Here is a 26,982-nt window from a genome sequence, read left to right on the forward strand (position 1 = left end):
TCTCCTTGTGTATCCTCCAAGTTCTGATGCAAAGCCCACTTCCTCCAGGAAGCATTCGCAGACCCATCTGGCCACATCCTCGCTGTTCTCTAAACACACATATCTCATGCTCTTGACTTGGCCTTTAGCCTGTCCTGCCTTATGATCTCTCTTGTACTTCTGTCCTGAAGTTTTATCTAACTTATGAATTGGGGGAAAGAGGACAGGCACTGACATTTATTAAGTGTTTTATTGGTGACGGGCATTTTGCTAGCTCTTTACTGTATATAATGTGCCTGGTATGTAGAAGATGTTCAATAAATATTTGTTCAACGAATGCTTCAGTGATTTGGCTTAAACCTAACAATAACCCTATGAGACCAATTCTATTAGTATTCCCATTTTACAGATAAGAGAACTGAGGCACAGACAGGTAAAGTCTGCATTTGAGGGCTTTCTGTCTTAAAAGTTGAAGTTCAGACTTTCTCTTCTTCTCTGTTGCTTTTTTCTGCAAATAGATTTCCCTGAAGTGTCTTGATTAATTAATAGGACATATACTGTGCTCCCTGCTTTATCCCATCTCAGGCAATATTACCTGTTCTCTCCGTTGTGAGCCCATATTTGTATTTCTACAGTTAGTTTAGAAACCACTCTGCATCAGGCGTGGTGACTCACGCCTATAGTCCCAACACTTTGGGGAGGCTGAGGCGGGTAGATTGCTTGAACTCAGGAGTTCGACATCAGCCTGAGCAACATGGCAAAACCCCATCTCTACAAAAAAATGAAAAATTAGCCAGGCCTGGTAGTGCACATCTGTGGTCTCAGCTACTGGGGAGGCTGAGGTGGGAGGATCATTTGAGCCCAAAAGGTGGAGGCTGCATTGAGCGAAGATTGTGCCACTGTACTCCAGCCTGGGTGACAGAGTGAGACCCCATCTCAAATAAAAAAAATCATCACCCCACCATTACCTGTGCCTTGTCTACCTTTCCCACTAGACCATAGGCAGCACTAATGTAGTATGACTGCTGTGCCCCTGGCTGGCACACTGCTCATGCTCAGTGAAGATTTGCTGAGCCAGGGTGGTAGTGGTGGTGGTGGTGGTGATAACAATAGGTTGAGTAGTGATGTTCCCCAAAAGATATGTGTTAATTTTTTTTTTTTTTTTTTTTTTTTTTTTTAGATAGAGTCTTGCTCTGTTGCCCAGGCTGGAGTGCAGTGGTGCGATCTCGGCTCACTGCAAGCTCTGACTCCCGAGTTCACACCATACTCCTGCCTCAGCCTCCTGAGTAGCTGGGACTACAGGCGCCGGCCACCATGCCTGGCTAAGTTTTTGTATTTTTAGTAGAGACGGGGTTTCACCGTGTTAGCCAGGATGGTCTAGATCTCCTGACCATGTGATCCACCTGCCTCGGCTTCCCAAAGTGTTGGGATTACAGGCGTGAGCCACTGTGCCCGGCCAGATATGTGTTAAATTTTAATACCCAGTACCTGTGAATGGGACCTTATTTGGAAATAGGGTATCTAAAGATAGAATTAAGGATCTTGAAATGATATCCTGTATTTTTGGTGGGACCTAAATCCAAGGACTGATGTGCTTATAAGAGAAAGGAGACCAGGCACGGTGGCTCACATCTGTAATCACAGCACTTTGGGAGGCCGAGATGGGCGGATCATGAGGTCAGGAGTTTGAGACCAGCCTGGCTAACATAGTGAAACCCCATCTCTACTAAAAATACAAAAATTAGCCGGACGTGGTGGTGCAAGCCTGTAATCCCAGCTACTCAGGAGGCTGAGGCAGGAGAATTGCTTGAAATCAGGAGGTGGAGGTTGCAGTGAGCCGAGATGGTGCCACTGCACTCCAGCCTGGGTGACAGAGCGAGATTCCATCTCAAAAAGAAAAAAAAAAGAGAGAGAAAGGAAAGTAAGATTTAAGACACAGAGACACAGTGAGAAGAAGTACAATTGAAGATGGAGGCCGAAATTGGACTTATGAAGCCTCAAACCAAGGCATGTTAAGGCCACCTGTAGAAGCTAGCAGAGGGGCATGGAGCAGATTCCCCCTCAGAGCCTTCAGGGTAACCCCACCCTGGCGACACCTGCTTTTGGACTGCTGGCCTCTAGAACTGTGAGAGAACAAATTTCTATTGTTTTAAGCCACTGAGTTTGTGGTAGTTTGTAACAGCAACCCTACGAGATGAGCACAGAAGGTGAGCAGGACTTTCCCGCCTATGAAATTCAGGGTTTTGGGGAAACAGCTTCCACTCTGGGGCCTGACAGACCTGGGGTTGGCACCTGCCTGTCCTATGGTCTTGACTTTGCTCCCCTGAGCCTCAGTTTCTTCCTTTGTAAAGGGGAGAGCCAGAGTAAAGCTGCATTTGTAGAGTGCCAGACAGTGTGCTAAGCCCTTTATCGCATCCTAAGACTCCGCTTGGATGATAATAGGCCAGGAACGCCATTAACAAAGAAACTGTGTTTGAAATTGACAGCTTCACATTGCCACATAAGAAGCAACCTCCACCTCGTGTTTTTGCTTTGAATCTGACCATGTGGTAACTCAAGAAAACTCATGAATATTGGAGTCAGACAGGACAAGGTTCAAAGCCTGGCTCTGGTGTTTACCAGCTGGGTGAAACTGTGTGATCTGTCTTGCACTTCTGAGCCTCTCATAGTTTGCAAAATGGGAATGGTACTGGTCCCTACTTGATGTTGATGTGATGATTAAATTAAACGATAATTTTAAAAGCATGCTGTTACGAGCTGTGCCACAGAGGGTAGCACAGTTCCAGCACATAGGGGAGGCTTCTCTCTGAAGATGCTACTGCTGAAGATGCTGGTTCAGGAGGGGACAATCCAGGAAGAGTAAGCCAGTACACAGAGGACGGCAACAGCTGGGGACTGATTTTCCCAGAGGAGGAATGAGGGACAGCGCAGGCCTCTTGGGCAGCTGCTTCCTGGGGTTGTGATGTCACCGGCCCATCCAGGAGGCCACAGTACCAGCGCCTGTTACTGCCTCCCAGCTGGCCGGCTCCACTTCCTGCGCCCTGAGCCTGCCCTTGCCTTCTTTCTCATGACCCTCGGGAGGCAGCTGGGCTGCAGCTCAGAAAGCAACGCTCATCTGCAAGTTGGGACAGCAGAGGCCCTTCATTCCTCCCCAGGGCTCCCACACCTTGGGAGGGACTGTGAAGAGTGACTCTTGTCCAGTGGTTTTCAAACTGGGTTCCTCTAAGCCCTGGGGTATTAGTGCCCCAGGGACCCCTGAAGGTAAGGAGGTGGCGCGTGGTGGAAGCAAGGGGCACCCTAAGAAGGCTCAATTCTTTTTTTTTTTTTTTTTTTTTTGAGATGGAGTCTCTGTCGCCCAGGCTGGATTGCAGTGGCGTGATCTCAGCTCACTGCAAGCTCTGCCTCCCGGGTTCATGCCATTCTCCTGCCTCAGCCTCCCAAGTAGCTGGAACTACAGGCGCGTGCCACCACGCCCGGCTAATTTTTTGTATTTTTTAGTAGAGACGGGGTTTCACCATGTTAGCCAGGATGGTCTCGATCTCCTGACCTTGTGATCCACCCACCTCGGCCTCCCAAAGTGCTGGGATTACAGGCGTGAGCCACCATACCCGGCAGCAGGCTCAATTCTAATGCCACTCCCTTCACTCTCCAAAGCAGCTTTTTTTTTTTTTTTTTTTTTTTTTTTTGAGATGGGGTCTTACTCTGTCACTCAGGCTGAAGTACAGTGGCATGATCTGGGTTTATTGCAGCCTCGACCTCCTGGGATCAAGCAATCCTCCAACCTCAGCCTCCTGAGTAGCTGGGACTACAGGTACATGCCACAATGATCAGCTAATTTTTTATTTTTATTTTTGTATGGACGGGGTCTCCTCATATTGCTCAGGCTGGGCTCGAACTCTTGCTCCAGTGATCTTCCCACCTGGGCCTCCCAAAATGCTGGAATTACAGGTGTAAGCCACTGTACCTGCCTAACAGCCCCACTTATTATTATATTTTTTTAGACTGAGTCTCGCTCTATCACCCAGGCTAGAGAGCAGTAGCACGATCTTGGCTCACTGCAAGCTCTGCCTCCCGGGTTGACACCATTCTCCTGCCTCAGCCTCCTGAGTAGCTGGGACTACAGGTGCCCACCACCATGCATGGCTATTTTTTTTTTTTTTTTTTTTTGTAATAGAGACAGGGTTTCACCGTGTTGGCCAGGATGGTCTAGATCTCCTGACCTTGTGATCTGCCCACCTTGGCCTCCCAAAGTGCTGGGATTACAGGCGTGAGCCACTGTGCCCGGCCACAGCCCCACTTTTTATCTTGTTTATGAATTGAGTCTTCATATCAAATTTAATTTGGGAAAAAAAGACTGTGACAAAAGAAAGTTCAAAAAACCTCTGATCTTATGCATATGGGAATTAAATCCCAGTTTAAAAAAACGCTCCAAACTATTCTACTCATTTCATTTTCTAGATGGGAGACTGAGGCCAAGTGAGGAGGGGGGGCTCATTTGCAGCCACCCAGTGAATCAGTGTCAGAATCAGGAACCAGGCCTCCTGCTATACCAGATTCTGTTTCTACATCATTTGGTACCAGGTGTGGGGTGGGGGGCAGACAACTCTGATTCTCACACCTGGCAATCACCACCTTACTTCTGTCACTCCGGGAGGCACAGCTCAGAGGCAAAGTGAATCCAACTCAGTGACAGAAAACTGAGCCTGAAGCTAAACATGCAATCATCTCACCTCACTGAGCCTCAGTTACCTTCCTCTGTCAAAAGATAATACCGGTACATAGGCCTGGTGTGGTGGCTGACGCCTGTAATTGCAGCACTTTGGGAGGCTGAGGTGGGCGGATTACTCAAGGTAAGGAGTTTGAGACCAGCCTGGCTAACATGGCAAAGTCCCGTCTCTAATAAAAATACAAAAATTAGCCGGTGTGCTACAAGCATGTGCCTGTAACCCCAGCTACTCGGGAGGCCAAGACAGGAGAATTGCTTGAATTTGGGAGGCAGAGGTAGCAGTGAGCTGAGATCGCACCACTGCATTCCAGCCCGGGTAATAGAGACTGTCTCAAAAACAACAACAAAAAACTGGTGCCTGAAGAGGAGTACTGAGAGGACCTAACTTATTAGTTGTTCTTTCAACAAACATTTTGAAAACAACTACTATGTCCCAGGCAATGTGTGTGGCTTTGGGAACCAAAACAGAATCAGGATGTCAGGCTCTTGCTCTCATGGAAACCTATATTTTTATGGGAAAGACCAATAATACACAAGTAATCAAAGAAATCAATAAGAAAATATCAGAGAATAAATTCTATTATTAAAATAAAAAGAGTAATCAGAGGATATTTCTGATTAGATTGGGCAGTTGGAGAGAATGCTCTAAAGAGGTGATATTTGGGGCCAGGCATAGTGGCTCATGCTGGTAATCACAGCATGTTGGGATTACTAGGTGGGAGCTGAGGTGGAAGGATCACTTGAGGCCAAGAGCTTGAGACCAGCCTGGGCAACATAGTGAGACCCCATCTCTACAAAAATTAGCCAGGTGTGGTGGTACATGCTTGTAGTTCTACCTACTTGGGAGGCTAGGGCAGGAGGATCACTTGAGTCCAGGAGTTTGAGGTTACAGTGAGCTATGATTGTGCCACTGTACTCCAGCCTGGGCAACAGAGTAAGACCTTGTCTCTAAAAAAATAGGCAATATTTGAACTGAGACCTCAATGAGCAAACACCTAACTTATTAATACTAAATGTTAATGCTAAAATAGCAACATGTGAAGGACAAAACTGATAACCATGAGTGTTTATTTGCATTACAATTGAATTTTTGGAAATGTATGTAATGTATATGGATCATGTGTCTGTTTCTCCACTTGAGTTTAATGATGGTAATAACTATTAACATTTTTTGCACACTGGTAATATGCAGTGTCCTCTTCTAGGCATTTCGATGTTTTGCTTCATTTAATTCTCACAGCAATCTTGTAAGGTAGGCACTGATATTTTTCAATTTTACGATTTTTTTTCTTTTGAGACAGGGTCTTACTCTGTTACCCAGGCTGGAGTGCAGTGGCACCATCTTGGCTCACTGTAACCTCTGGCTCTCAGGCTCAAGTGATCCTCCCACCTCAGCCTCCGAGTAGCTGGGACTACAGGCGTGTGCCACCATGCCTGGCTAATTTTTTTGTATTTTTGGTAGAGATGGGGTTTTGCCATGTTGCCTAGACTGGTCTTGAACTCCTGAGCTCAAATGACCCATCCACCTTGGCCTCTCAAAGTGCTGGGATTACAGGCATGAGCCACTGTGCCCAGCCTCAATTTTACAATTTTTTTTTTTTTTTGAGACGGAGTCTCACTCTGTCACCCAGGCTGGAGTCCAGTGGCGCGATCTCAGCTCACTGCAAGCTCTGCCTCCGGGGTTCACGCCATTCTCCTGCCTCAGCCTCCCGAGTAGCTGGAACTACAGGTGCCCGCCACCATGCCCGGCTAATTTTTTTGTATTTTTTTGGTAGAGACAGGGTTTCACCGTGTTAGCCGGGATGGTCTCAACCTCCTGACCTCGTGATCCACCTACCTCGGCCTCCCAAAGTGCTGGGATTACAGGCGTGAGCCACCACACACACCCCCCTTTTTTTTTTTGAGACAGAGTCTCCCTGTTTCACCAGGCTGGAGTGCAGTGGTGTGATCTCGGCTCACTGCAACCTCTGCCTCCCGGGTTCAAGCAATTCTCCTGCTTCAGCCTCCCGAGTAGCTGGGACTACCAGTGGGCACCACCACGCCCAGCTAATTTTTGTATTTTTAGTAGAGAGGGGGTTTTACCATGTTGGCCAGGAAGGTCTCGATCTCTTGACCTCGTGATCCATCTGCCTCAGCCTCCCAAAGTGCTGGGATTACAGGCATAAGCCACCGCGCCTGGACAATTTTACAATTTTTTTAACCACGATTTATTGTTTTACAAATAAGGAAATTGAGATGCAGAGAGGTGAATTGACTTGCCTGAGGTCACACAGCTAGAAAGTGGCAGAGCTCCACCTTGAATTCAGTCAATCTGGGACCCATGGTTTTAGCCATTGCGCAGCTTTGCCTGGTCCTCTAGACAGTCTGCCCATAGTAGGTGCACAATGAAGAGGATGTCTGCTTCTGTTTGGAGAGAGGGAGCTCTGACCAGGTTATTTAGGGTGTTCAAGACCCTTGACATGACTGCCCTTTGAGTGGCACATGAAGTCTTGTGCTTTCCCTGCCTTGCTCTCTCCAACCTTCCAAAATAAATCCTTGACGGCCCAGGGGCTGGGGGAAGGTGGATAATGACTTGAAAATATGCTGGCATGACACACGATAGCATCTGCAATCATGGATTGTGAAATCTAGACAAGTTCTGAGACTGTGACTCACAAATTTTACGTCAAAAAGGAAATTACAAAGGAATAACTAGGAGCATCTTTTACAGAGCGTCCTTCTCTGGCTGTGTCACCCTGAGCCCTTGATCCTACATTTTAGTCATGGCAGGCGTCTGGAATACAGATGCGAACCTTGCACCACCATCCCTGGCTCAAAGCACCCGGCTCTCAGGTTCTCTCTCTCTTGAGGATTGGCTCTGGCTCTTCCCGAGCTACCTCCTGATCCTCCTGTAGTTCCTCTAAGGTGATGGCTCCAGCTGAGAAGCCTGGCAGGTCTGGGTTCAAATCCTGACTCAGTCACTTACCGGCTGGTACCCTTGGCCACTTTCTGGATCTCCATATTAAATCCATATTCAAGGATTAATTAGGGCTGCAGATGCTCACCTTCTAGGGCTTTTTTTTTTTTTTTTTTTTTTGAGACGGAGTCTCACCCTGTCAGCCAGGCTGGAGTCCAATGGTGTGATCTCAGCTCACTGCAACCTCCGCCTCCCGGGTTCAAACGATTCTCCTGCCTCAGCCTCCCGAGTAGCTGGGATTACAGGCGCCCGCCACCATGCCCAGATAATTTTTGTATTTTTACAAATAGAGACAGGGTTTCACCATGTTGGCCAGGCTGGTCTCGAACACCTGACCTCGTGATCCACCCACCTTGGCCTCCCAAAGTGCGAGATTACAGGTGTGATCCACGGCACCCAGCCCTTCTAGGGCTCTTGCACAGGATGACAGCTCCAATATCCTCCAAGAAGGAATTGTCTATTGTGTTCATTGCTATATCCCAGGGCCTGCCTAGAATGGTACTTGGCAAATAGTAGACCCTTAATAAATAACTGCCAAGCAAATGAATAAAAGTCCTAGTACAGTGTCTGGCACATAGTAGATACTCAGTATCTGATCACTTTTTTTTTTTTTTGAGACAGGGTCTCACTCTGTCGCCCAGACTGGAGTGCATTGGTGCAATCTCAGCTCACTACAACCTCCGCCTCCCAGGCTCAAGCAATTCCCCTGCTTCAGCCTCCCAAGTAGCTGGGATTAGAGGTGCATGCCATCACTAATTTTTCTATTTTTAGTAGAGACAGGGTTTCATCATGTTGGCCAGGCTGGTCTCTAAGTCCTGACCTCAGATGATCCACCCGCCTTGGACTTTTTTTTTGAGACAGGATCTCGCTCTGTCAGCCAGGCTGGAATACAGTGGTGTGATCATGGCTCACTATAGCCTCAACCTCTCAGGTTCAAGCGATCCTCCTGCCTCAGCCTCTTGAGTAGCTAGGACTACAGGAGTGCACCATCATGTCCGGCTAATTTTTGTATTTTTTGTAGAGACAGGGTTTTACCATGTTTCCCAGGCTGGGCTCAAACTCTTGGACACAAGCAACTCATTCATCTTGGCCTCTCAGTGTTGAGATTCCAGGTGTGAGCCACCGCACCCGGCCATCACATCACTGTTATTATTACTACTAATTCCTGAAAGAGACCCCCCTGATCAGCTGACCTCAGAATTCCTGTTGCTCAGCCTCTAACTCTCTCAGGATCCATTAATGTACCAGTTTCTTGTATATTGGTTGGTCTCGGATGGGTTAACTTGTGTGAGTTGGTGTCCCAGAGTCAGGACACCTGGGCTGTTGGAAGCAGGTTGGGCAAAAAAGACTTTGATCTTGCAAAGTTCAGGAGGAGGATTGGGGCATCAGGGCCTTGCTGAGGGCTGCTGCTTGTGGGGCTCAGCTGGTACAGGCAGCTCTTCAAAGACTCTTCTCTCAGGCCTCTCCTTCCAATTTCATACCTCTGGAGATGGTCTCCATGAGTGATCTAGCCTTTGGAGTATAGGAACCTTCCTTTTGCAGCTGCGGTGAGGGACAGAGAAAGCACTTTGATAAAAATAGGAAAACCGGTGCTGGGCGTGGTGTCTCACACCTGTAATCCCAGCACTTTGGGAGGCTGAGGCCTCACTTGAGCCCAGGAGTTCAAGACCCAGCCAGGTAACATGGTGACATGGTGAAATCCCATCTCTACCCCAAAAAAAGGGAAATTGGCTACTGGCTCCTTGTATCAGTCAAGGTTCCAGCCATCCAATAGGTGGCTCACTCAAAGGAGCCTCCGGAGAGAGCTGAATGAAGGGACTTATCTATAAAGGGAGGAGTAAGGGGGCACCCAGGGACTAGTAGCAGCAGGAAGTCCTGGCACCATTATCCTGAAGGCAGGAAGGGAAGGGGTGGTGAAGGCTGTAGCTGCAAGATAGGAGCTGTGGAGAGGGACTCAACACAGCCAACCAGCCCAGCAGGAAAGAAGGAGCCAGGACAATCCACTCCCCCAACACTTGCTCTTCCTTGAGACCCCAGTTTTTTGCCATTGCTTCCATTGGCCAAACCCAAGTGCAAGCCAGACCCAAGTGAAAGCCAGAGGCCAGGGAAGCCCAGATGCTTCCCCAGGTAGAGAAGAAGGGGCTGCTCTGGAGGGGCAAAGGCAGAATACACGGCATGCCTTGTTTCTGTTTTGTTTTGTTTTGTGCCTTGGGAGGATTTACATATATTATTGTTATATGTATTACATATATTCTGACAGTCCCTCTGGGAGGTGAGGAAACCAGAGAGGTGAAGTCACTTGCCCCAGGTCACACAGAAACCAGAGAGGTGAAGTCACCTGCCCCAGGTCTTTTGATCCCCAAATCCATGTTTTTTCTATGCAGTATCCCCCTGATGGAGCTCACACTGACTTTCTGGCTGATATGTTCTACTTTCCAATGGAAATCTCTCTTGACCAGGTGATGCTAAGACTCAAATGGGAGGAAACTGGGGGAACAGGGTTGACTGATGATGGGGAAGGTGTTTTGCTGTGGAGTGTCTGTCGTGCTTATCAGAGCAGAGGCCAGCCCTGTGGCTGGCTCCATCATTCTGTGATTCAATGGCCGTGAAACCGACAGGGCAGGGGGAGCAGAGGCTGGGCTTGGGAGGGGGCATTGCACTCATAGAGATGAATAAATAATTAGGTAATTACCACCTTACAGTTCCTCTCCTAGGGAAATACGCATACGCATTACCAAGATGACAGCTGCAGCTTTTCTATAACAGAAAAGTTCAGACCCTCTACATGCCCATCATTCAGGGTTCTAATGGTGGCTAGGATTTAATTTAGAGAGATGATGATGCAACGAGGTCAAGGCCATTGAAAAAGTTTTACTCCTTACAGTTCCCAAGCGGGGGCGAGGCAGGCACACTGTGTCACGCAGGGCCACATGGGGAATCTCTGGGGTCGGTCAGAAGGCAGGGATGCAAAGAGAGCATGGCCCAGAGCCTTTAGTGCGGTTTTTGCGGAAAGGAATGGGCGAGGTAGGGTAGGCAAGTTTGAGCAAGTTTAGGACTGGACAGTTTGAGTACTGTTAGCAGGCTCTAGGCTCTAGGTATGGTCTCTAGTTGTCTAGTACCTGACCCTGGGGTGATGTAGGGCAGGGGAGATATTGGCTTGGTGTGTGAGAGTGGTTAGTTAGTATATGAAAGGCATGTTCACAGGCAAGTTGTTTACCATCTCTAGGAATTAGCTAGCCTGGGAGAGGCCATCTCTCCAGGATTAGCAAGGCCCCAGATGTCAAAGCATTGTAAAATACAGAAAATAAAAAACATGATTCATACATTCAGGGAATGATTGGAAAACGACATTATGTTCATACTTTGGAATACTATGAGGTAGGTAAAAATAGTAAGGTAGGTCTACTTACTTACACAGATGACCTCCAAGACATTAAGGCTTTTTGTTGTTTGTTTGTTTGTTTGTTTCTGAGAGGGGGTCTTGCTCTGTTACACAGGCTGGAGTGCAGCAGTGCAATCACAGCTCACTGCAGGCTTGACTGCCCAGGCTCAAGCAATCCTCCTGCTTCAGCTACCACGCCTGGCTAATTTTCTTTTTTTGTAGAGACAAGATCTCGCTATTTGGCCAGGCTGATCTCAAACTCCTGGGCTCGAGTGATCTGCCTGTCTCGGCCTCTCAAAGTGCTGGGATTATAGGCGTGAGCCACTGTGCCTGGCCAAGACATTAAGTAGAAAAAAGAAGTTGTGGAACAATACTTACCCATATGATTCCATTTACAAGTGGAAAAAATGAACAAATAAACCTTAAATTTCTATGTATTTCTGTATATGTGTGCAATGCCCCAAAGAATGTGTAAGTGGATAGACACCAAACTAGCATCAATGGTTATTCTTGGAAAGCGGGAGAGTGGAATTGGAAAAGGATCAGAAGGAGGTCTTTTACTACATCTGTATGTTTGAAGTTTTTACAATAAATACATGTTCATGTATTATCTGTGTAATTTAATATAAAGTAAGTAAATCCTCCCTTTTCCTCTAGATAATGTTAAACCCATTTGATGAACACTGTGATGGGGAAGTACAGGGGCTGACTGGTGTGTAAGCAGAGAGGCAGGGTCCCTTACCCTGATTAGGCAACCAGGGAGGACTTCCTGAAGGAGGTGAGTCCTGGGTTATGTTTTGAAGGATGGATTAAAATTAGCCAGATGAAGAAGTAGAGAAAGAGTATTCTAGATAAAGGGGACGGTGTGTCTGGAGAAGTGATGGAGCAGCTATATTTAGGAGTATAAGATTGTGAGAAAGAGGAGGGCCAGGGATGAAGTGGGAGATGTGAATGGAAGCAGATCTTGAGGAGCCTCATAAGCCCAGCTGAGAGGTTCCAATTTCACCCAGAAGGCAATGGGGAGGCCTCAGAAGGGCTTTAAGGTTTGCCATGAGTGGGCCAGGATGGAGAAGCAGGGAGGAGGAGGCGGGGCTGTGAATGAACAGACTGGAGTGACGCTAAGATCAGCTGCCATCAACCTCACCCTCCCACACTCCAGCCACATGGCTTGCTTTCTGAGCTCTAACTCACTGACCCTAAACTTTCAGGTGCATCAGAACCGCCTGGAGGGTTTGTTAAAAACTCAGCTTGCTGGGTCTCACCCTCAGAGTTTTAGCAAGTCTAGGGTGTATCCCAAAAGTGGACATTTCTAGCAAGGTCCCAGTGATGCTGATGCTGCTGGCTGGGGGACCCTACTATGAGAACCACTGCTCTAACATACCTTTCCCTTCCCACCTCAATGCCTTTGTTTGTTTGTTTTGTTTTGTTTGTTTTTGAGATGGAGTTTCACTCTTGTCGCCCAGGCTGGAGTGCAGTGGGGAGGTCTCACCTCACTGCAACCTCCGCCTCCCGGGTTCAAGCAATTCTCCTGCCTCAGCCTCCTGAGTAGCTGGGATTACAGGCATGTGCCACCACACCCGGCTAAGTTTTGTATTTTTAGTAGAGATGGGGTTTCACCACGTTGGCCAGGCTGGTCTCGAACTCCTGACTTCAGGTGATCCGCCCGTCTCGGCCTCCCAAAGTGCTGGGATTACAGGCGTGAGCCACTGCGCCCGGCCAACCTCAACGCCTTTGCACTTGCCTTTCCTTCGCCTTGAAATGTCTTCCCCACATCTTTGTCACCTCCTTAGGAAGCCTTCTTTGACCACTCACTCAATTAGCCACTTGGTCACTATCTTCTTGTCCTGTTTTACTTTCTTTAGGGCACTGGCCACCCCTAGAGATGATCTTGGTACAGTACCGGTTGGCTTGTTTGTTGTCTGTTTGCCTCTATTAAAATGTAAGCTCTAAGAAGGCAGGGATCTATCCCTGCGCACCTAGGGCCGTGTCCGGCCCTCAGCAGATGCTCAGGAGTCTGTGAAGCTAACAGCTGCTAGGGTGGGTTTCTGCAGCCTGGAAGAGCCTGACAGGGCTGCGGCTTTCTGATGGTGGAGGGCTGGTGATGGGCACCAGGAGGGACAGATGTTTGGATATTGAACTGAGCTGTTGACACAGGTTAGAAAAACTCGTCCTCTTTTGGGGGAAGGGCAGGGTGGGGTGAGAAAGAGTTTAAAATAGGTGACCTTTTCAAGCAGATGCGGGAGGAAGGAAGAGCCCGCTGACATCACAGCTGAGAGGCCCAGAGCTCGGTTGTGGCCCAGGGGCCAGCGCTACCAGGGCAGGCCCCCAGCCTGAGTCACTCCCACCTGTAAGTCAGGCGACCAGGCCAAGCCTGGGGGTGGGGGCACTGTTCTGAGAGGCATAGGGCGGGCAGAGAGAGGTGGCAGCTGCTGCCCACCCGGGACCTCCTCCTTTCGTCCCTCAGGCCTCCTCCAGCCATTCACTGTCCTCGGCATTATGGAGGCCTGGGCAAGGCACAGGTCCTCGGTTTCCCCATCTGGAAAGGGGAGTGGAGGGGGAGGAAGGATTTGGGCTCAAAGGTCTCAGAGGATCAAATCCAGGCATCTCTGTTTGTCATAGATGACCTCACCCCAGCTATTGATCTCCACTCCCTTGCACCCACATCTGCCTTGTGTTCCTGTCTCTGGGCCCCCATTCAAGCTCTTCATCCTCCTCTTCCCCCGTTCCCCAATATACTAGTACCTCCTCTCCTAAGCAAACACTTTCCACCCTCCAGGCTTGGGGAGGCTGGGTGCAGGAGAGGAAGGAACATGGGCTTTGGAGCCTGACAGCTGGTTCCAGATCCGGCCTTGTCCCTGACACCTTTCGTCTATTGTCACCCTTTTGACCTCAGTTTTCCTTTCTGTAGAGTGGGTATATCTACCTTCTACATTGTGGTAAAGATTTTTTTTAAAAGCCTGTTGTGAAAGTTTGTTTCCTTTGCCTTTTTTTTTTTTCTAGTTTGTTACTGCTGCTCTGAAGCTTTTCAGCATTTCTTGAAATAATGAATTCCAGTAACACTGATAGCTCTTGGCCGGCCCACCATGAAGCCCTTGATCCCAGCCTGGCTGAGAATAGACTGTTTCACACATCACTAACTCTGCCCCAGCCTCTGGCTCAGAGCTAGTAGCAGGACATGAAGGTTTACTGAACACCAAACAGATGGTGAGTGCCCTGCTAAGAACTTCACATACATCTGCCCCCTCCATCCTCCTCACTGTGAGGAAGTGTCATCGTCCCCACCAGAAAAACAAGGACTGGGAGGTGTCCTGACTTGCCCAGGCAGAGACTGGTGAGTGATGAGGCTGGAAAAGTGACAGGGCCCAGTTCTTGAAGGGCTCTGAATATATTTTATCTTTTTAATCATTTTATTATTTTTATAGAGATGGGGGCCTCACTATGTTATCTAGGCTGGTATCCAACTCCTGGCCTCAAGTGATGCTCCCACCTCAGTCTCCCAGAGTGCTGAAATTACAGGCATGAGCCACCATGCCCAGCTGAATACACTACCTTAAGGGCAGTGGAGAGGTTTTAGACAGGGAGGCAACATGATCAGACTTGGGCTGAAGGCTGGGTGGGGTTGAGATAGGTAGGGAGGAAAGAGAAGGGTAATAGTTTGATTTCTGCTTCCCAGAGTTGTAAGAAGGGTGAGCTTGCCTTGTCAAAGAGGGAAGGTGATTGGGCAGGGCAGATGGGAACACAGCTAACACCTGTGAACTGGAATGAGCCATGTGAGCTGGGATTGGGTGAGAAGCTTGGGATGGGCGCACGTTGCCTAATACATGGCCTTAGGCAAGTTATTTGGCTTCTCTGAATCTCAAGTTTCTCATCTGTAAAATGGGCTTAATCACAGTATAACTTCCTGAGGAGCCGTGAGACTTCAGCAAGATAATTAAGACATGCAAAGCACTTACTTGGACCAGGGCCTGGCATAGAACAAGTGCTCAAGAACCACCAAGCACTGTGAAAAGCGAGACATCATCGTGATTTTTATTGTAATCCTCATGGCTCTTGGGATAGCCTTTCCAGTCGGCTGGGGGCTTCAACTCCCAGGAGCATTCCCAAGCCCAGCAGTTTCAGGTGGGCTCTGTTAGCTGATGTTTCCCTGCTTCCTGGCAGGGAGGGTGGGAATGGCAGCCAAGAGTGCAGGTGTCACGTCCCCTCCCTCCCCATCTATTTCCAGCGTAGCTGCCTGAGGCCACTGCCAGGTGTGGGTGGTGAGTCAGAGCCAGGCTGAGAGGACAAGGCAGCCCCGGGGGCCTGAAGCTGTCTCAGCCTCCCTCCCTCGGCCTTTCCCATGGGCATTTTGAAGGGGGAAGGCTGGGCCAGTGCCCAAGGGTCCTCCATCAGTGTCACATAGAGGACACAGGGTAGAGACCCAAGGTCCCCCAATCTACCTCTTTGCTGGCTGGAGGTGGGGGCAGAGGCCATGTTCTATTCATCTCTACCTCCAAGAATATCTAAGACAGGGCTTGGCACATAATAGGGATGCAAGAAATGCACGTTGACTGAATGAAGCAATGTTTGTTCAGGACTTTAGAGGAGCAGGATTTGTTCATGAGAACAGACTATGAGCTCTGCAGACAGACAGACAGACAGAGAGATAGACAGGGTTTATATGACCCCGGATAGGGGAATTTGCCTCTCTGAGCCTCAGTTTGCTCATCAGTGAAATGGGGATAACAATGTGTACTTTATATTAAGGACTGTTGTGAGGTGTAAGTGGGGCAACCTCAGGAAACTGTCTACTGTGCCTGAGACTATATCTATAATAACATTGATCACATTTTGTTGCAAGTATGTATTGCCATATTTGCCCCTCTCTGGATGGTGAGCTCCCCTTGGGTCAGGACAATAGTAAGTAGAGGCTTCTGAGACAGGAAGGTATGAACTTGAATCCTGGACCTATTTTTACTTTACTGTGTGACCTTGGACAAATCACACACCCTCTCTGAGCCTCAGTTTATTTATGAAACAGAAATGGTGACTGTAGAGGCCGTGGTGAGGATTAAAAGAGGCATGTTGTGCAAAGCACCCAGTCCAGTATCTGGTACCTGAAGGCAACTATATCATGGAATAGGAACAGGCTTCAAATGGATCAACAAGGACCAGCCCTCATGGCTGGGTGAATGGAAAGATCTTGGGCTGGCAGTGAAGAGACGTGGGCTCTGGAACTGACTTTGAAGCCAACTGGCTGAGAGTCCTGGGACAAGTCCTTCAGCTTCTCTGGGCTGAGCCTCACATCTGTAAAATGAAGGGCTTGGATCCCGTGGCCCAAGGGTCCTTCTGGCTCAGCATACTCTGGCTGAGGCAGGTAACCTTGGCCAGACCCTGTGAGCTGACTCCTCAGTAAGAAGCAGAACATGGAAGATCCTGGTGTGTCCCAGATGTGTCTTGAGTCCATGAAGGTAGTCAGTCAAGTACACCCTGGCCCTGGCCCCAGCAAGCCACAGGGATGAGCCTGGGGCCTCTGCAGGCAAAGAAGATGTGCCCAATGCACACAGCTAATGAGCAAGCAGGCAGGTGAACCATGCATGGCTGGCCCCAAGATCAAGGCTCGCCACACTGCTTCCCGTAGGCTGCCCTCCCCCAACCCTGCCCTTATGCACCTCTCATCCTGGTCTGTCCTCAGGGCACGCTGTGAAGCAGGCCTTGTTCCTCATTTTATTAATGCAGAAACAGGCCCAGCAGCGCTCAACTGCAAAGTCAAGGAGACAAAACTTGAACTTGGGGCCTCCTGCTCCCAGGCCTTTCCTGCTACACTTAGGGCCTTTCGCAGGGAACTTTCGTTTTCTTTTTTTTTTTGAGATGGAGTCTCGCTCTGTCACCCAGGCTGGAGTGCAGTGGCGAGATCTCGGCTCACTGCAAGCTCCGCCTCCCGGGTTCACACCATTCTCCTGCCTCAGCCTCCCGAATAGCTGGGACTACAGGCGCCCGCCACTGCGCCTGGCTAATTTTTTGTATTTTTAGCAGAGACAGGGTTTCACCATGTTAGCCAGGATGGTCTCGATCTCCTGACCTCGTGTTCCACCCGCCTCGGCCTCCCAAAGTGCTGGGATTACAAGCGTGAGCCACCGCGCCTGGCCGGAACTTTCTTTACCTGAATGTCACTGCCCCCTGCTCTGACCCTCTCACCCACCCAATGTCCTCTCCTTGTCCTCAGCTCGTCTTCCTCCAGGCCATCATCCCCCTGGCTCTGACTGCATTTCCTAAAGTGACTCTGACAATCTTGTTCTCACCTAATGGCATTCATTCATTCATTCATTCATTCTCTCAACAAGTATTTGTTGAATGGTTTCTATGGTGCCTGGCTCTGTTCCAAGCCACCAGGAACACAAAAAGATGAACAAAACAAAGTCCCTATCGTCATTTTACAAAACAAAATAAAAATCTCTTGTCTTTATAAATTACCCAGTCCCTGGTATTCCTTTATAGCAGTACAAGAATGTACTAACAGGGGCTGGGCCTAGTGGCTCATGCCTGTAAACCCAGCACTTTGGGAGGCCGAGTGGGAGGATCATTTAAGGCCAGGAGTTCAAGGCCAGCCTGGGCAACATAGCGAGACCCTCTCTCTACAAAAAAAAAAAAAAAAAAAAGTTAGGTGGGCATGGTGGCACATGCCTGTAGTCCCAGATACTCAGGAGGCTGAGGAGGGAGGATTGCTTGAGCCCAGGAGTTTGAGGCTGCAGTGAGCTATGATCACACCACTGCACTCCAGCCTGGGTGACAGGGAGACCCTATCCCAAAAAAAAAAAAAAAAAAAAAATTGGAATAACACATGTGGCACAAACTGACAAAGCCTCAGACTGTGTCGCCTTCACCATGGGAAGTTCAGTGCCAAGCACAGGGTCTAGTGTATAATAGGTGCTTAATATGAGTTTCCTGGGTGAATGAGTAGCCTTTGACCTTCTCTGTTGACTGGGTCCCACACTGTTGGGACAGCACAAACAACTTTACTTAAAGGTAGTTTCTGGGTACCAGTGCAACCCAGGCTGGCGACAGCAGGCGTAGAAGCAGGGCTAAGCTGGCTTCTTAGTCATGGCCAACACTTTCCTCCATTTTGGATTCTGTCTGTCCAGCCCCCAAGCTTAGCCTTTCCCAGACTGAATCTCTCTGCCTTCTAAGACACTGGAATGCTTCTTCCCCCACCCCATGACAGCTCTCACACTTGGCAAAGCCCAGTCACTGAAGTAGTTATGTCAGGTAGGCTGGGCCTTTTACTTAGTTCCTTCGAGTCTCTGAGCCTTTGGCTATTGCTAGCACAGTGGTGGGCCCATAATAGGTGCCCAGTAAGTATTTGTTAAATGAATGAACAAACGAATGATGAATGAATGAGAGAGTGAATCAGGACTCAGTGAATCTGCAGCTCTACTGAGCTCTCTGCTGGTAAAGCTCTGGATTGATGTGTGTGTGTGTGACCTTGGCACTTCTGGGCCCTGGTTTACCTTGGAAATGAATAGGTTTGATGGAACTGTCAGAGGCATTTGAACCAGGAACTCCATCTTGAATAGGGGCTGGGTAAAATAAGGCTGAGATCTACGGAGCTGCCTTCCCAGGAGGTTAAGGCATTCTTAGTCACAGGATGAGATACGACGTTGGCAGAAGATACAGGTCATAAAGACCTCGCTGATAAAACAAGTTGTAGTAAAGAAGCCGGCCAAAACCCACCAAAACCAAGATGGCGATGAGAGTGACCTCTGGTCATCCTCAGTGCTACACTCCCACCAGCACCATGACAATTTAAACACAAATGCCATGGCAATGTCAGGAAGTTACCCTATATGGTCTAAAAAAGGGAGGAATCCTCAGTTCCAGGAATTGCCCACCCCTTTCCCAGAAAACTCATGAATAATCCATCCCTTGTTTAGCATATAATCAAGAAATAACCATAAAAATGGGCAACCAGCAGCCCTCAGGGATGCTCTACGTATGGAGTAGCCACTCTTTAATTCCTTTACTTTCTTAATAAACTTGCTTTCACTTTACTGTATGGATTCACCTCAAATTCTTTCTTGTGCAAGATCCAGGAACCCTCTCTTGGCATCTGGATTGGGACCCCTTTCTGGTAACAGAACTAGCCCCATCCACCCGTGTCCATAGTGGCATGCTGGACAGACAGGGAACATTGCCATGCTTGGCCTCCCCACCATGTACACACCCAGATTTTGATGAAACTCAAAAATTGTTGTGTGGAAAGCAAAGCCCTAAAATGATTTGCAACCATCACAATTGTTGACCCAGGAAATAGCAGCTCACTGTGGGTTGGGGCTTACAATCCTCAGTGCAAGAGCAAGACTTCCTTTTGTTCTCCTCAAGGAAGCAGATGGCAGAGCCTAGGGTGTGAATGACATTATTACAGGGATTCAAGTGTTCGTCTCTTTATCTAGTTAACGACTATTTATGGAGCATTTTCTAAGTCCTTGGCCCTGGGGATGCAACAATGAGCAAGAAGCCCTTTTGGAGCTTACATTCTGGTGGGAGAGACAGGAAGTTCAAAAATAAAGATACATATTAAATGAGAGGATCTCTGATAATAAGTGTCATGAAGGAAATCACCCAGTGCTGGGTTAGAGGGGGAAAGGGAAAGTGGGTTACCTTAGCAGGTTCCCAGAGCTTCACTGAAGAGTTTTATTTGAGCTGCAACTAGAGGATGAGAAGGAGCTGACCTTGCAAAAAGCAGAGGAAAGAGCACGGCAGGCGGAAGGAACAGCATATGCAAAAAGCTGTGAGGGGGAAAAGGGATGGTTGGGAATCCTTTTTATTTTTCTAAACAAGCAAATCAATATGAAACTATAATTATTTAGTTATTAGTAGTGCCAGATTAATTTTTTCATTCAGCAAAACAAGCCCCTACTGTGTAGCCAGCCCTGGTTTAGGCCCTGGGGACAAACAATGATGAATGAAAGCGACATTCTTGTCGCACAGGTCCTGGGCCTGGCACCCCATGGAGATGAGCTGGTCTGATGTTTGCAAAGGGCTCCCCAGCTTGGATCCTTGGGGAATCCAAATAAACCCTGCGGGTTCTGGCATCCCAGGCCTCCCTCCAGCCGGCTGGCGGCTCCAGGCCTCCATAGGCAGGCGGTTTCTCTGTTTCCTGCCTTTCCCTCCCCCACCCACCTGGGCACAGAGGGTCTTTCATCCATTGTTACTGCTTCCTGCCCATCCATCTCCAGCTGCTGGTCTGAACCCTGCAGATTTACACTGACAAGCGGATGCTTTTACCAGGACCCTCGAGGGGGATAGGGAGGGGAGTGGTGTGGAGTGTTAGGGGGAGGGGGGGAAGGAGGACCAGAGCTCTGTGACAAGGAAGAGTTTCCTGCTCTGAAGAGGTGTTAGACCCTGAGGGCTGAGAGGACGGGAAGCAGGCCTCTGTCCCCAAAGCCTCCCTGACCACGCTGGGGGAGGGGGTGATTTATGACCCCTGACCTGGCAGGGCCTCCAGTCCCCTTGGACTGGGTTTGGGTTCAGCTACATCTTCCCTGGCTAAGGGATGCACTGGGCTTGGAGTCAGGAGACCTGGGTTTCCGTACCCTTTCCACCAACTATCAGCTGAGTGACTTAGGAAAGTTTCTTAGCCTCTCTGGGCCTCAGTTTCCTCACTGGACAGGGGGGTCTGATAACCCATGCCTAGCAGAGGTTATTGTGAAAATGAATATGATCATGTAGGATAGATGGTTGCAAAATACCATAAAATGAAGAGCATTTTCTCCCCTGGAGCTCTTTCTCCTTCTATCCAAAGAAGAAGGTTATAAGCTGGCTTCTGTTAAGGCAGACTTGATTTAGCACCTACTGTGTGCCAGCTGCTGTTTGGGGTATTGAGGATAAGGAGACACAAGTTCTTGCTCTTAAATGAGACAGACAAACGAACAGACATGCAGCATGCAATTGACTGCAGCATTTGGACACAGTGGCCAAAAATGTGGCTCTGGAGCCAGGCTGCCTGGGTTCATTTCCCAGCTCTGCCACTTGCTGGTTGTGTGGTCTTAGGCAAATTATTTAACCTTTCTGCACCTCAGTTTCCAAAGTCTGTACAGTGGAGGCAATAATTGCCCACTGCATAAGATTGTTGTGAGGACGAAATTATTTAATACTTGTAAAGCATTTAGTTTATGCCTGTCATACAGAAAGTGCTCAATAAATAAAGTTATTATAGGTGCTGATGAAGTCAACATGGAGTGGGGAGGGCATGGCCAGCCAGTACTATAGATGAGGAAGACTTTATGAGGAGCTGAGTCTTAAATGATAGGTGTGAATGAATCAGCAACAGGAAGGACGCGGTGGCTCACGCCTCTAATCCCAGCACTTTGGGAGGCCGAGGCACGTCGACCACCTGAGGTCAGGAGTTCGAGACCAGCCTGGCCAACATGGTGAAATCCCATCTCTACTAAAAATACAAAAATTAGCCGGGCGTGGTGGCACCTGCCTGTGGTCCCAGCTACTCGGGAGGTTGAGGCAGGAGAATCGCTTGAACCCGGGAGGCGGTGGTTGCAGTGAGCCGAGATCACGCCATTACACTCCAGCCTGGGGTGACAGAGCGAGACTCCTCTCAAAAAAAAAAAAAAAAATGCCAGGCACGGTGGCCTACACCTGTAATCCCAGCACTTTGGGAGGCCAAGGTGGGCAAATCACTTGAGGTCAGGAGAGTGCCTGTAGTCCCAGCTCCTTGGAAGGCTAAGGTGAGAGGATCACTTGAGCCCAGGAGGCGGAGGTTGCAGTGAGCCGAGATGGTGCCACGGCACTCCAGCCTGGGTGATGGAGCAAGACTCTGTCTCAAAAACAAACAAACAAACAACAACAGAAGAAACATCACCATGTCTGTGAGCTGATTCATTCAGCTGGTGGTCTAGCTTCCGGCTTCATTCATCCACCAACTCTTCCGTGAGCATCTACATAGTGCAAGGCACGTTCCTCTCTGCTGGGGCTATAAAACAAAGCAGAGTTGGTCCCTGGCCCTGGAGCTCACCATTCATACGGGGAGGAAATGAGGAAATAACCTGTTTCATCAAATGACCAGAGACTGCTACGGCCTCTGGAGCTGCCCCCAGGCAGATTCTCGGTGGTTTGCAGACTTCTCAAATGAACATGCCCCAAACCAGATTCCCACACCCAACCCTCCTGCTTGCAGGTTCCCCTGATTAGGAAATGGCACCAACACCCTGCAGGCGCTCAGGCCAGAAACCTGTGTGTCCCCTCCAGTACCCTCCACACTAACCCACCACTCATCCCATCCATCTGCAGCTCCTGTGACTTTTGTTTCAAGGACATGTTTGTAATCCATCTTCTGTTCTCTCTGTTTTCCCATCTTAGTCCAGGCTGCCATCACTCCTGCCTGGATGCCACGTCGGTTGCCTAACTTGCCTTCTTGCGGCCTTTGCCTCTAATCCTTATCCCACACAGCAGTCAAGAACAGGCTTCTTCAAGCCAGGCACAGTGGCTCACGCCTGTAATCCCAGCACTTTGGGAGGCCGAGGCGGGCAGATCACCTGAGGTCAGTAGTTCGAGACCAGCCTGGCCAACATGGTGAAACCCTGTCTCTACTAAAAATACAAAAATTAGCTGGGCGTGGTGGCGGGCGCCTGTAATCCTAGTTACTCCGGAGGCTGAGGCAGGCGAATTGCCTAAGCCCTGGAGGCGGAGGTTTGCAGTGAACAGAGTTGGAGCTACTGCACTCCAGCCCAGGCGACAGAGCAAGACTCCATCTCAAAAAAAAAAAAAAAAAAAGAACAGGCTTCTTCAAAGGCAAACCACATCCCCCAGTTTCACTGCTGAAAACCTTGCTTCAGTAGCTTCCCACCGCTCTGGAATCAAACCAGAAGCCTATGCACATCCTTAAAGCCAGCACACATCTGGCCTTGCCCTCTTCCAGCCTCCTCCTGCACGTCTACACCCTTTTCCCCATGTGCGCTGGCTTTTTAGTTTCTTGAGCCACCAAACTCACTCTCCTGGAGATGCTCTTCCGCTCTTTCTTTGCTGGGCTGGCTTCTTCTCACCCTTCCGGTCTCAGCTTATATCTTCCCTCCTTCCAGAGGCTTCCCTGCCCATCCCAGCTAAAGTAAATCTCCCCTGTCAGTTTTTTGTGCTTTTTTTTTTTGTTTGAGACAGAGTTTCACAATCTCGGCTCACTGCAACCTCCACCTCCCCGGTTCAAGCGATTCTTCTGCCTCAGCCTTCCTATTAGCTGGGATTACAGGCATGCACCACCATGCCTGGCTAATTTTTGTATTTTCAGTAGAGACAATGTTTTGCCATGTTGGTCAGGCTGGTCTTGAACTCCTGACCTCTCATGATCCACCTGCCTCAGTCTTTCAAAGTGCTGGGATTACAGGCATCAGCCACCACACCTGGCTCCCTGTCAGTCTTTCTCAGCACTGTTTCCTTCATAGCACTTTGTAATTATTTTATTTGTTGACTTTTATGTCTGTCTACCCCCTCTAGAGATCAGGAGCGCCTAAATGCAGCATCCAGGCCTGTCTTGTTCCTTAGGGTTCCTACAGCCGACAGCCTACTAGCCTCCAGCCTCCAGCCTCCAGTGCCTGCCAGAACTGGCCCTCTGTTCATGTTGCCAAATACTGAGACTCGATGGGTCCAGACCACTCTGTTCAGTCACCCGCAGTGACTCCCAGCTCCCCTTTTGCTCACCCAGAATCACGCTCTCTCCTCTCCCCAGCCTCAGTGGAATAACTTGTGGGTTATCTTGTCATTTATCAATCTCTAATAAAAGCCAGATTATATTTAGAACAGGTGAAAGCAACGATCTAACATCTCTGAGAGGATTTTCCACTCCCATCTGCCTTTCTACTACAATTTGGTTTCCTGTGGTGGTTGCAGAGACTGCCGAGCCAGCCAGCTTTGTTATTCTGGGGTGCAGAAAAGAGCCTCAAAAGAAAGCCAAGCCCCTCTTCTTCCACCCTGCACAGAGAAAGAAATGAGGTGTCTAGTGCATGCGCCTGGTGTACAGTGGGAAGCCTGGGATGAGGCCTTGTGCTCATTTGCTGTGTGACCTTTCCCTCTCTGAGCCTCAGTTACCCACCTGTAAAAGGAAGGGGTTGGAGCATTAATTACTAAAGGCCTGTGACAGCTAAGATTTGGATGGCACCATGAGCCAACGGTTCTTTTACACTCCTGGGCATCGGTTATATGGCAGTCCCAGTTCTTTCTATGAAATGAAATGTAGTTGATGCCTTTTTTAGTGTATGTGCAGATGCATGCAAATTAACACAAAATAAGAACCCCAGAGGCTCTCGTTCACAGGACCAAGGTCTGGCCAGACCTGGGATGAAAGAAGAAATGTAGTTCATGTTTCCAACACTGCTTGGTGTCTTTCCCAACATCCCACTCTACAGAGAGGAAACTGAGGAGGGAAAGTGACTTGCCTGAGGCCATGCAGCAAGACACTGACAAAGTACAATTAGCAGCCAGGTCTCCTTTCTAGCACTTTCCTTACCTCATCTTCCTGCCGTTTAGCCATAGGCCTGGGGATAGGAACCTAGCTCTAAGGAAAGTTTGTCCTCTAGTTGACACAAAGTGAACTTGGATAAGCTTCCTAAAGTTCAAACAAAATACTTTTTTTTTTGACAGTATCACTATGTTTCCAAGCCAGAGTGCAGTGGCGTGATCATTGCTCACTACAGCCTCCATTTCCCCGGCTCAAGCAATCCTCCCACCTCAGCCTCCTGAGTAGCTGGGACTATAGGTGCGTGCCACCACACTCAGCTATGTTTAAAAAATGTTTGTAGAGATGAGGTCTCACTATGTTCCCCAGGCTGGTCTCAAACTCCTGGGCTTAAGCAATCTTCCCAGAGTGCTAGGGTTACAGGCGTGAGCCACCACACCCAGCCCCCAAATACTCTGTCTTTGGAGCAGGGAGAGGTGAGTTATTTTGGTTATGTGATTGGGGGGATGAATCAGAATGGAGTTGCGGAGAGACCATTCCATGTAGGGGGACCAGCATATGCTAAGATGTAGACGCAGAAAAAAAGCACAGCCAAGCTCAGAAGTTGTTTATAAAGACAACTTCAAGACGTGCCGGCCAGGCATGGTGGCTCATACCTGTAATCCCAGTACTTTGGGAGGCTGAAGCGGGTGGATCACCTGAGGTCAGGAGTTTGAGACCAGCCTGGACAACATGGCGAAACCCCATCTCTATTAAAAATACAAAAATTAGCTGGGTGTGGTGGCACATGCCTATAATTCCAGCTACTCAGGAGGCTGAGGCAGGAGAATCACTTGAACCTGGGAGGCGGAGGTTGCAGTGAGCCAAGACCACATCACTGCACTCCAGCCTGGGTGACAGAATGAGACTTGGTCTCAAAAAAAAAAAAAAAAAAAGACATGCCTCCCCACTGTGTCCCCTTCTAATCAGAATGCACCCCTCACCCACCACCAACGGAGTCTCTTTTAATTAGAAATTCCAGAAACTCCATTACCTGTAAGATAGAGCACATGTAGAGAAATCATGAAAAACAAGCCTGGGGACCAAATTGTAAAGCCTGAAATGGCAAGCTTAGGAATACGGACTTTATTCTGAAAGCAATAGGGAGCCATCGAAAGTTTTATGGCAGTGAGAGAAGTGATCAGATTCATATTTAGGGTGACCTGATTGCCTGCTGGTAGCAAGGAAATCAGTCTGAAGACTGAGGCAATAGTTCCAGAGGTAAAGGCAAAGGCCTGAACCGGGTCTACATGGCAGGGATGGAGATGGGCATTTGTCTGAATGGAGCAGACTGAGCCTGTTTGGATGGGGAAGCGAGGGAGAGGACTGAGAACTGTGGGTTCGCTTAATCCAGTGAGCAAGGGTGCTGAGGTCCCTCTGTCCTTTTCACTACTGGCTATTTCCCCAAGCTAGTGCCCATGCAGAAGGTGAGGCTGGGGGTCAGTGGAGCAACTGCCTGCCGGCTATACAGGACAGAGGGCAGCTTGACTTTGTTCCCTGGAGATGTTTATTCTATTCTTTGGGCTTATTAAGGAAAGACCTCAGGGCCTTAGGGGACCACAAGTCAAGTATTTCTCAAACCTTCATTTAGTACCCACTAGGGTAAAGTTCTAGTGTAGTGGACAGATATATTGAGGCTATATTTTCTGAACATCAAACTGGGACACATGAACTGCATAGAAGTTTTTCAGATTTGACATTTGTTTATATGAAAAGTCCTTTAATGACATTTTATGGGTTGAATTGTGTCCCCCCAAAATATATGTTGAGGTCCTAACCCGTAGTACCTCAGAATGTGACCTTACTTGGAAATAAGGTCGTGGCAGGTATAATTAGTTCAGATGAGGTCATACTGAAGCAGGATGGGCCCTTCATCCCATATGACTGGTGTCATTATACGAAGAGGAGAGAGACACACAGGGAGAATGCCACAAGATGACGGAGGCTGAAACTGGAGGGGTGTTTGTCGAAAACCAGGGAATGCCAAGAACTGACGGCCACCACCAGAAGCTAGGAAGGGGCAAGGAAGGACTCTACTCAGATTCTTAGGGATAGCACAGCCCTGAAGACGTCTGGATTTCAATCTCAGGTCTTTGGAACTGGGAGAGAAAACGTTTTTGTTGGTTTAGGCCTCCCAGCTTGTGGTACTTTGTTATAGCAGCCTAGGAAACTAATAGCATCTAAATCAGGCCAGGCGCAGTGGCTCACGCCTGTAATCCCAGCACTTTGGGAGGCCGAGGCGGGTGGATCACCTGAGGTCAGGAGTTTGAGACCAGCCTAGCCAATATGGTGAAACTCCATCTCCACTAAAAATACAAAAATTAGCCAGGCGTGGTGGTGCACACATATAGTCCCAACTACTTGGGAGGCTGAGGCAGGAGAATCGCTTGAATCCGGGAGGCGGAGGTTGCAGTGAGACAAGATCATGCCACCACACTCCAGTCTGGGTGACAGAGCGAGACCCTGTC

General features: G+C 48.8%; 11 annotated features.

Moving 5' to 3' along the window:
• Window positions 13,806-15,005: an enhancer, noted in NCBI's record as "MED14-independent group 3 enhancer chr1:23918734-23919933 (GRCh37/hg19 assembly coordinates)". NCBI's record gives its function as "activates an origin of replication core promoter dependent on BRD2, BRD4, P300/CBP and CDK7 cofactors, and independent of MED14, by STARR-seq in HCT116 cells {active_cell/tissue: HCT116}" and the evidence as "EXISTENCE:reporter gene assay evidence [ECO:0000049][PMID:35650434]".
• Window positions 13,806-15,033: a biological region, named in NCBI's record as "MED14-independent group 3 enhancer GRCh37_chr1:23918734-23919933".
• Window positions 14,259-14,538: an enhancer, noted in NCBI's record as "active region_368". NCBI's record gives its function as "activates an Ori minimal core promoter by ATAC-STARR-seq in GM12878 lymphoblastoid cells {active_cell/tissue: GM12878}" and the evidence as "EXISTENCE:reporter gene assay evidence [ECO:0000049][PMID:35858748]".
• Window positions 14,262-15,033: an enhancer, noted in NCBI's record as "H3K27ac-H3K4me1 hESC enhancer chr1:23919190-23919961 (GRCh37/hg19 assembly coordinates)". NCBI's record gives its function as "activates a minimal SCP1, AML or CMV promoter by ChIP-STARR-seq in naive H9 embryonic stem cells {active_cell/tissue: H9 hESC(naive)}" and the evidence as "EXISTENCE:reporter gene assay evidence [ECO:0000049][PMID:30033119]".
• Window positions 15,034-15,804: an enhancer, noted in NCBI's record as "H3K27ac-H3K4me1 hESC enhancer chr1:23919962-23920732 (GRCh37/hg19 assembly coordinates)". NCBI's record gives its function as "activates a minimal SCP1, AML or CMV promoter by ChIP-STARR-seq in naive H9 embryonic stem cells {active_cell/tissue: H9 hESC(naive)}" and the evidence as "EXISTENCE:reporter gene assay evidence [ECO:0000049][PMID:30033119]".
• Window positions 16,763-16,952: an enhancer, noted in NCBI's record as "active region_369". NCBI's record gives its function as "activates an Ori minimal core promoter by ATAC-STARR-seq in GM12878 lymphoblastoid cells {active_cell/tissue: GM12878}" and the evidence as "EXISTENCE:reporter gene assay evidence [ECO:0000049][PMID:35858748]".
• Window positions 18,351-19,148: an enhancer, noted in NCBI's record as "NANOG-H3K27ac hESC enhancer chr1:23923279-23924076 (GRCh37/hg19 assembly coordinates)". NCBI's record gives its function as "activates a minimal SCP1, AML or CMV promoter by ChIP-STARR-seq in naive H9 embryonic stem cells {active_cell/tissue: H9 hESC(naive)}" and the evidence as "EXISTENCE:reporter gene assay evidence [ECO:0000049][PMID:30033119]".
• Window positions 19,947-20,744: an enhancer, noted in NCBI's record as "OCT4-NANOG-H3K27ac hESC enhancer chr1:23924875-23925672 (GRCh37/hg19 assembly coordinates)". NCBI's record gives its function as "activates a minimal SCP1, AML or CMV promoter by ChIP-STARR-seq in naive H9 embryonic stem cells {active_cell/tissue: H9 hESC(naive)}" and the evidence as "EXISTENCE:reporter gene assay evidence [ECO:0000049][PMID:30033119]".
• Window positions 20,745-21,542: an enhancer, noted in NCBI's record as "H3K27ac-H3K4me1 hESC enhancer chr1:23925673-23926470 (GRCh37/hg19 assembly coordinates)". NCBI's record gives its function as "activates a minimal SCP1, AML or CMV promoter by ChIP-STARR-seq in primed H9 embryonic stem cells {active_cell/tissue: H9 hESC(primed)}" and the evidence as "EXISTENCE:reporter gene assay evidence [ECO:0000049][PMID:30033119]".
• Window positions 21,543-22,340: an enhancer, noted in NCBI's record as "H3K27ac-H3K4me1 hESC enhancer chr1:23926471-23927268 (GRCh37/hg19 assembly coordinates)". NCBI's record gives its function as "activates a minimal SCP1, AML or CMV promoter by ChIP-STARR-seq in primed H9 embryonic stem cells {active_cell/tissue: H9 hESC(primed)}" and the evidence as "EXISTENCE:reporter gene assay evidence [ECO:0000049][PMID:30033119]".
• Window positions 22,706-22,765: an enhancer, noted in NCBI's record as "active region_370". NCBI's record gives its function as "activates an Ori minimal core promoter by ATAC-STARR-seq in GM12878 lymphoblastoid cells {active_cell/tissue: GM12878}" and the evidence as "EXISTENCE:reporter gene assay evidence [ECO:0000049][PMID:35858748]".

Source organism: Homo sapiens, chromosome 1, assembly GCF_000001405.40.
Source record: "Homo sapiens chromosome 1, GRCh38.p14 Primary Assembly".
NCBI lineage: Eukaryota > Metazoa > Chordata > Mammalia > Primates > Hominidae > Homo > Homo sapiens.